General features: G+C 51.3%; 4 annotated features.

The window, feature by feature from the left end:
- Positions 3503-3702: a silencer, noted in NCBI's record as "silent region_11946". NCBI's record gives its function as "represses an Ori minimal core promoter by ATAC-STARR-seq in GM12878 lymphoblastoid cells {active_cell/tissue: GM12878}" and the evidence as "EXISTENCE:reporter gene assay evidence [ECO:0000049][PMID:35858748]".
- Positions 4023-4212: a silencer, noted in NCBI's record as "silent region_11947". NCBI's record gives its function as "represses an Ori minimal core promoter by ATAC-STARR-seq in GM12878 lymphoblastoid cells {active_cell/tissue: GM12878}" and the evidence as "EXISTENCE:reporter gene assay evidence [ECO:0000049][PMID:35858748]".
- Positions 4253-4342: an enhancer, noted in NCBI's record as "active region_16510". NCBI's record gives its function as "activates an Ori minimal core promoter by ATAC-STARR-seq in GM12878 lymphoblastoid cells {active_cell/tissue: GM12878}" and the evidence as "EXISTENCE:reporter gene assay evidence [ECO:0000049][PMID:35858748]".
- Positions 7143-7685: an enhancer, noted in NCBI's record as "H3K4me1 hESC enhancer chr2:128994251-128994793 (GRCh37/hg19 assembly coordinates)". NCBI's record gives its function as "activates a minimal SCP1, AML or CMV promoter by ChIP-STARR-seq in naive and primed H9 embryonic stem cells {active_cell/tissue: H9 hESC(naive and primed)}" and the evidence as "EXISTENCE:reporter gene assay evidence [ECO:0000049][PMID:30033119]".

Here is a 7892-nt window from a genome sequence, read left to right on the forward strand (position 1 = left end):
TGACTTCCGAAATTGCTGGGATTACAGGTGTAAGCCACTGCGCCCCACCTTTCTTTTCTTTTTGATATTCCAGGATTCCTTTTGTTGCACTTACTTTTTGTTCAGAAAATAACTTTTGTTGTTGTTGTTTTGAAATGGAGCCTCGCTCTGTCGCCCAGGCTGGAATGCAGTGGCACGGTCTCGGCTCACTGCAACCTCTGCCTCCCAGGTTCAAGCGATTCTCCTGCCTCGGCCTCCTGAGTAGCTAGGATCACAGGTGCATGCCACCACGCGTGGCTAAGTTTTTGTATTTTTAGTAGAGACAGGGTTTCACCATGTTAGCCAGGATGGTCTCGATCTCCTGACCTCGTGATCTGCCCACCTCAGCCTCCCAAAATGCTGGGATTACAGGCATGAGCCACTGTCCAATTCCCAGAGAATGGCTTTTAAGCGTTCTTTAGGAGTAGGTCAGCTGGTGACAAATTTGCTTGTGCTCCTCTGCCTGACAGACTTAATTTCTCCTCATTCCTAATGGAAATTTTTATTCGCCATGGAGTTGACATTGATAGTTTTTTTCATTCAGCACTGGAAAATGGTTTTGCCACTTCCTCCTTGCCTCCATGGTTTCAGATAAGAAATCTGCTGTTGTTTGACTTTTTTAAAAATTTTTTTGAGATGGAGTCTCGCTCTGTCGCCCAGGCTGGAGTACAATGGCACAATCTCGGCTCACTGCAACCTCTGTCTCCCAGGTTCAAGCAATTCTCCTGCCTCAGCCAACTGAGTAGCTGGGATTACAGGTGGGTGCCATCACCGTGGCCGGCTAATTTTTGTATTTTTAGTAGAGACGGGGTTTCACCCTGTTGGTCAGGCTGGTCTTAAACTCCTGACCTCGTGATCCCCCCCACACCCCTGCCTTGGCCTCCCAAAATGCTGGGATTACAGGCATGAGCCACTGTACCTGGCCGATTTTGTTTTTTTTTTAAGACGGAGTCTTGCTCTGTTGCCCATGCTGGAGTGCAGTGGTACCTCTGCCTCCTGGGTTCAATTAATTCTCCTGCCTCAGACTCCTGAGTAGCTGGGATTACAGGCAGGCGCCACCATGCCTGGCTAATTTTTTATTTTTTGTAGAGATGGGGTTTCTCTATGTTGGTCAGGCTGGTCTCGAACTCCTGACCTCAGGTAATCTGCCCGCCTCAGCCTCCCAAAGTGCTGGGACTACAGGAGTGAGCCACCATGCCCAGCGTAATTTTTTGTATTTTTAGTAGAGACGGGGTTTCACCATGTTAGCCAGAATGATCTCGATCTCGTGACTTGGCGATCTACCCGCCTCGGCCTCCCAAAGTGCTGGGATTACAGGCGTGAGCCACCGCGCTTGGCCCAGGGGAGGTGATTTTTAAAAAGGTTGAGAAACATTGGTTTAACCTAAATATTATTTACTGTTACCTGTTTTTTGAATCGTATATAACTGGAGTCCTCTGCAGCAGGCAGTTTTGAGGGTCACGCATGCCTGTGCATTCATTCCTTTTCCTTGCTGTCTACTTACCAGTTTCTTACCTGCTCCCTCCAGTGAATAGCCACTTGGATTGTTTTCAGGTTTCTGCTTTACAGACAAGGCTCCTGCACACATTCTTCTATGTGGGTCCTGGCCCACATGTGCCAGGGTCTCCCGGGTGTATACACTCAGAGGAGTGGGCTTGCAGGGCCCTAGGAAAGCAGCTTTACTGGTTGCCCACATTTACTGGGTCCTGCCAATCTGTGTTTCAAAGTCAGTGCACAGTTTACATTCCCGCCAGTTGTGTATGCAAGTTCCTTTTTCTCTAAGTCTTCCCCAACACTTTATGTTGACAAGAGATTTTAAATTTTGCTGATTTAGTGGGTGTGGAATGGCATGTCCTTGTTTTAGTTTACATTTCGTTGATAATAAATGAAGTTGGACATCTTTTCACACATTTAATGGGCCTCCTGGTTGCTCTCTAGGAAGATCTGTTCTGGGTTTTAATTCTTTGAGTTTTGCCTTTTTCCTCTTAGTTAATAAACGAAAAACAAATACATAAAAAATATATAGTCTCGATATGACTCCTTTTCAGGTATATGTATTGCCAATAATATCTTTTTTCCAGTTTGTTGCTTTTTTTTTATTCTCTTTGTGTTGTCTTTTTTTTTTTTTTGAGATGAGCCTCTCTCTGTCACCCAGGCTGGAGTGCAGTGGCGCGATCTTGGCTCACTGCAACCTCCACCTCCCGGGTTCAAGTGATTCTCCTGCCTCAGCCTCCCGAATAGCTGGGTTTACAGGCGCCAGCCACCGTACCCAGCTAATTTTTGTATTTTTAGTAGAGACGGGGTTTCACCCTGTTGGCCAGGATGATCTCGATCTCCTGACCTCGTAATCTGCCCGCCTCGGCCTCCCAAAATGCTGAGATTACAGGCGTGAGCCACCACAATCGGCCTGTGGTGTCTTTTTTTTTTGAAACAGAGTCTTGTTCTGTTGCCAGGCTGGAGTGCAGTGGCACAATCTCGGCTCACTGCCACCTCCGCCTCCCAGGTTCAAACTATTCTTCTGCCTCAGCCTCCCGAGTAGCTGGGACTACAGGCTCGCGCCACCAAACCCGGCTAATTCTTGTATTTTTAGCAGAGACCAGATTTCACCATATTGGCCAGGCTGGTCTTGAACCTCCTGACCTCGTGATCCGTCCGCCTCGGCCTCCCAAAGTGCTGGGATTACAGATGTTCGCCACGGCGCCCGGCCCTGTGGTATCTTTTTTTTTGAGATGGAGTCTCACTTTGTCACCCAGCCTGGAGTGCAGTGGCGCGATCTCGGCTCACTGCAACCTCCGCCTCCCGGGTTCAAGCTATTCTGCCTTAGCCTCCCGAGTAGCTGGGACTACAGGCGCGCACCACCATGCCCGGCTAATTCTTGTATTTTTAGTAGAGACCGGCTTTCACCATATTGGCCAGGCTGGTCTCGAACTCCTGACCTCATGATCCACCGGCCTCCGCCTCCCAAAGTGCTGGGATTACAGGTGTGTGCCACCGCACCCAGCCCTGTGGTGTCTTTTTAAACAACAGAACTTGGGGCTAGGTGTGGTGGCTCACGGTTGTAATCTCAGCACTTTGGGAGACCGGGGCAGGAGGAGTGCTCGAGCCCAGGAGTTGGAGACCAGCCTGGGCGCTCTCACAGCTCACTGCAGCCTCGACCTCCTGGGCACAAGTGATCCTCCTGCCACAGCGCCTCCCAAAGTGCTGGGATTACAGGCGTGGGCCACCGCGCCCGGCTAAAAATCAGTCTTTTCCTTTGGCTTCTGGTCTCTTCGCCTCGTTTAAGAACTCCTAGCTGCGGCCGTCCGGACTCTCCCTGGTGCTGGTGGAAGTTTCTGGGGCGCACTCTCATGTTGCTGCCTGGGGAGTCTTGCACCCCACAAGTGCGCCTCTCTCCTCCCGCGTGAGGCTGGGGGGCCGGCTTGGTTGTGCAGGGGAGAGGAGGCCCAAGGGGCTGCGCCCGGTCACCCGCGCGACCACCGCGGGCCGAGGCGGGAGCGCGGCGGCGGCTGTGGCGGAGTCACCTTGCGCTCTACCTCCCTGCTCTTCCCTTCCAGGCGAGCTTGGGGACGAGGAAGGCCGAGCCCGGCGGCGCGGCCCGAGCGCCCGCTTCCTCGCCAGCATTGGGTTCCCTGAGGGGCCGCCCTGCCCCGCGTCAGCCTCTGCAGCCTCCAACCCTCCCGGGGAGCACAGCGGGACGCTGGAAGCCCCACTGCCTTAGGAGGCCGTTCTCGGGAGGGCCGCCCCGTTTAGAAGATGGGAAAGGTGCAGAAAAAGAAGACCAATAGACGATGTCCCCACTCGCACACAGGGCCAGGTTCCCTGCCCGCCCTGCCCTTCGCTCTCCCGGCGGCGACGGCCGCGCGACCTTTCCGGGGACGGTCTCGGGAGTGCCATGGGGTCCCTGGGGCTCGGATCTCGGCGCCCGCGTCTCCGCCGGGGGCGACCCCACAGCCAGGCTCCTTCTTCGGCACAGAACCCGCCTCGGCTACCGGCCTCCAGCCCCCTTTCTAAATTCCTGCCGGCCTCGGGGTTCGGGTGACAGGGCCCGGGGACTGGGTGGCGAGGAGAGAGGACAGGTTTCCTCCGGTCGGGCGGGGTGGCGCGGCTGCGCGAGGGGTTCTGTTTGGAGGGCAGCGCGGAGCCCTCTGCTGGCCGCGGTGGGGACCGCTGGCTCCCCTGAAGTCACCAGGCCGGCGACGCTGCAGCCAGTCCTTCCTCGTCCTCCTTCCTCCCTGTGCAAAGGTGGGCTCAGTACCACGTGGAAATCACCGTGGCACAGGCACCAGGTGGGTGGGTTTGAGAAGCTGTGCAGTGTCCAACATCCTGTTACAAAGGAATTGCAGGTATTTAAGAATTAAAGAAAAACTATTCTCTTTTCTACTTACGTGTATCACTTTCTCAAACGCCAGCTGAGTAATTAGCATATACGTGCTTGTTGGGTGGCTTGGACCTAACTACTTAATAAATGCACCTGCCAGGTGTTGCCTGCGCCTAGGAGGCCCTGCAAATTTTCGAAGACACGGAGGGCTCCATGAACTGAAGTTGGGAACTGGAGGTTCCCAAATTTAAACATTAACATCTTCCTCAGGAGGGTGGCCACAGGTGCATTTTGGCAGTTCCCTTTGGTCAGGCGGGACACCAGAGGGGCCTGATGTCAGGCAGGAACTGGAAGGGGTGGATGTCTAAGCTACCTTTGCCCTGCTGAACCCTGATGGGCAGCATTTCTTTTCTGAAAGCAAAACTCAAAAGAAGAATTCAGGCGGGATGTGAACTCACCCCTGTAATCTCAGCACTTTGGGAGGCCAATGCGGGCAGATCACCTGAGGTCAGGAGTTCAAGACCAGCCTGGCCAACATGGTGAAACCCTGTCTCTACAAAAATACAAAAATTAGCCAGGCATGATGGCAGGTGCCTGTAATCCCAGCTACTTGGTAGGCTGTGGTGGGAGAATTGCTGGAACCCAGGAGGCATAAGTGGCAGTGAGCTGAGATCGCGCCATTGCCCTCCAGCCTGGGCAAATAGAGTGAGACTCCGTCTCTAAAAAAAAAAAAAAAAAAAAAAAAAGAGGAATTCAGGTGTGCATTTTGTCTATACCCACGTGGTGTTGACCAGCCTGTGAAGTGTACTTGGGCCTGAGAAAAATTGGAGAAACAACAGGACATGGATTTGCTGAAGGCTTCACACTGAGCTGTGTTGATTGTGTGGGGACTCCATGAGGCCGGTGATAGCCTGGCACAGCTGGAAGGCCCTGTGTCCACAGCACGAAAAAGCTCAGGTCTTCCCAGGGCCAGACATCAGGCCATGTGGAAAGCAGCAGGGCAGCATCTGTTGAAATTTAACATGCCTCTGTCTTCGGGCCAGCAGCCCCACTCTGGGCAACCAGACGTAGAAATAAAGCACAAGTGAGTGAGGCTGTGTACAGGGACTTTACCATGGGGCCCCAAATTGGTAACAAAGTGACTGTTTGTCACCCAGGGCTGGGTGAGTAAATTGCAGTCCCTTACAGCATGGAATATTGTGCAGCCACAAAAAGGATCCAGTGAGGCTGTGAGCAGTAGATTTCACAGGGATTTCTACAAGGCATCATTGACTGAGAAAATCATGATACAGAAAAATGTGTGAAACAAGATGCCACTGTGCAATGAATTAACTGAATACCTCTATGTATGCATATGTGTAGAGGTATATACGCATCAATATGCACACGTGTGCTTGATTATTATATGTAAGGATAAAGGAAAATACGGAGAATAGATGGAATACAAATTAGGTTATTGACAGGGTATCTGGGTGGTAAGACAGAGATGGGAGAGGAAAGGGGAGTATACAGCCAAGAAAAGAAAGAAATGAAGACTAATTAAAGTAAATTAAAGCAAAGTTCTTGCTTATCTATTTCTATAAGGTGTTACACACATACACACATATATATGCGCACATATACACACTTCAATGTGTATACAGATATGTTTATGACAGAGGGAGATTACACACAGTTCTGTGGCAAGACATAGTGGCATGAGAAAAAAACCATTATTTTTCTTTCAAAATAAATGTATGATGGCCATGGAGTCTGTGGGTCAGGCGCTGGGGAAAAGTTCAGCTGGAGTTTCCACTTGGAGTCAGATGCCATCCAAAGGCTTACCTGTGCTGGGGACCCCCGTTCCAAGGTGGAGCCTCACACAGCTGGCAGTGTGGTGTTAACTGCTGGCTTCTTCATGGGGCTACTTGATGTCTTCGTGGCAGTGCTGGGCAGCCGCAGGTGAACCGTGGTAGACAGATAGTAGCCATAGATAGGGCAATTGAATGCGTGTGGCTGTGGGCTTTAGTTTGCTGACCCCTGACGTAGCCTTGGAGCCATGGTTAAGACTTTGACTTTTTCTTTGAGAGACATGGAGAGGCGCTGGGGAGCTTGAGCAAAGAAATAACCTGGCTTGGCTCAGTTTTTTTTTTTTTTTTTTGAGACAGAGTTTCACTCTTGTTTCCTAGGCTGGAGTACAATGGCACGATCTCGGCTCGGTGCAATCTGCGCCTCCTGGGTTCAAGTGATTCTCCTGCCCTAGCCTCCTGAGTAGCCGTGCACCACCACGCCCAGCTAATTTTGTATTTTTAGTAGATACAGGGTTTCTTCATGTCGGTCAGGTTGGTCTCGAACTCCCGACCTCAGGTGATTCACTCGCCTCAGCCTCCCAAAGTGCTGGGATTACAGGCGTGAGCCACTGCACCTAGGCCTGGCTCAGTTTTAAGAGGGGCACTCTGGCTGCTGTGTGGGGGTCACACAGAGGGGCCAAGAGGGAAGCCAGAAGACCGGGGTGGGTGTGATCTTGCTGTGATCTTGGGGGACAAGGGTGGTGAAGATGGGGTGAGAAGGGGCTCCTGGATGTACTTTGAGGGTAGACTCGGGTTGGTTGATTAATTCATTTACTCAGGAAGAAACACAAATCAAAATGCTCTGTTACAGTTGGCCCCATGTGGTCATCCTGAACTCAGCTCAGATGGCCAAGAAGCTCAGGGGGTGAGTGTGAGGTGGCTGCTCGCGAGTGGGGCGGGGCAGCCGCAGCCAGGGAGATGGAGTGAGGTGGAGCAATTCTACCTAACAGGGAGGCCGGTGTCTGGGGAGAGGGCCTGGGGCCAGGCTGCCCTAGTGCTGAGGGCTGGTTTGCCAGCTGTGTGGGGTCCAAGGAGCAGGCAGCCATTCTGTCAAGGGCTGGCCATCTGTGGCCATGGAGCACAGTGGCAGGGCTGTCCAGCTTGGACAAGCCACAGTTGGCCGATCCTCGACTCTTACGCACTGCTCTGTACAAAGAAATATGTAGATACATAAATTAAAATGAAGCTGTGGGTTTTGTGATTCAAGCTGGTGATTCATGTTCTGCCACTGCTGGTCAGTGCTGTGTTTAAGTAAAAATGCAGGTCCAGCATTTTTTCCCAACTTCTTATCCTGACAATTTTCTGACATGGAGAAAAGTTGAGAAAATAGTTGAACATCCATACACCCACAACCTAGATTCAGCACCTAACTTTTGCCATAGTTGATTCATCTATATATTTTTTTAACCCAATCCCAGATATAATGAGGAGGTTGAACAAGAACTATTGCTCAACAAATGTCAGCTTTCCCCAGTTATCTAATAAAAAAAGTTATTGGTGAAAATAAGATGTGACATAGTTACTTTAGGATTTTGCTCTTGGTATTTATATAACAGTCTGAGGCCTTGATTTGAACCTTCCTGGTGAGCGATTGAATGAATATACAAACAGACAATGGCCAGAGCATGTATAAAAATAGAACTCAGACCCGCAATCTGCAGCAACCAGGCCAGGAAACTGACCCATTATCTGCAGGAGCCAGCCCAGGAAGCCAGCCTGCTGCCTAT

Source organism: Homo sapiens, chromosome 2, assembly GCF_000001405.40.
Source record: "Homo sapiens chromosome 2, GRCh38.p14 Primary Assembly".
NCBI classification, from domain to species: Eukaryota; Metazoa; Chordata; class Mammalia; order Primates; family Hominidae; genus Homo; species Homo sapiens.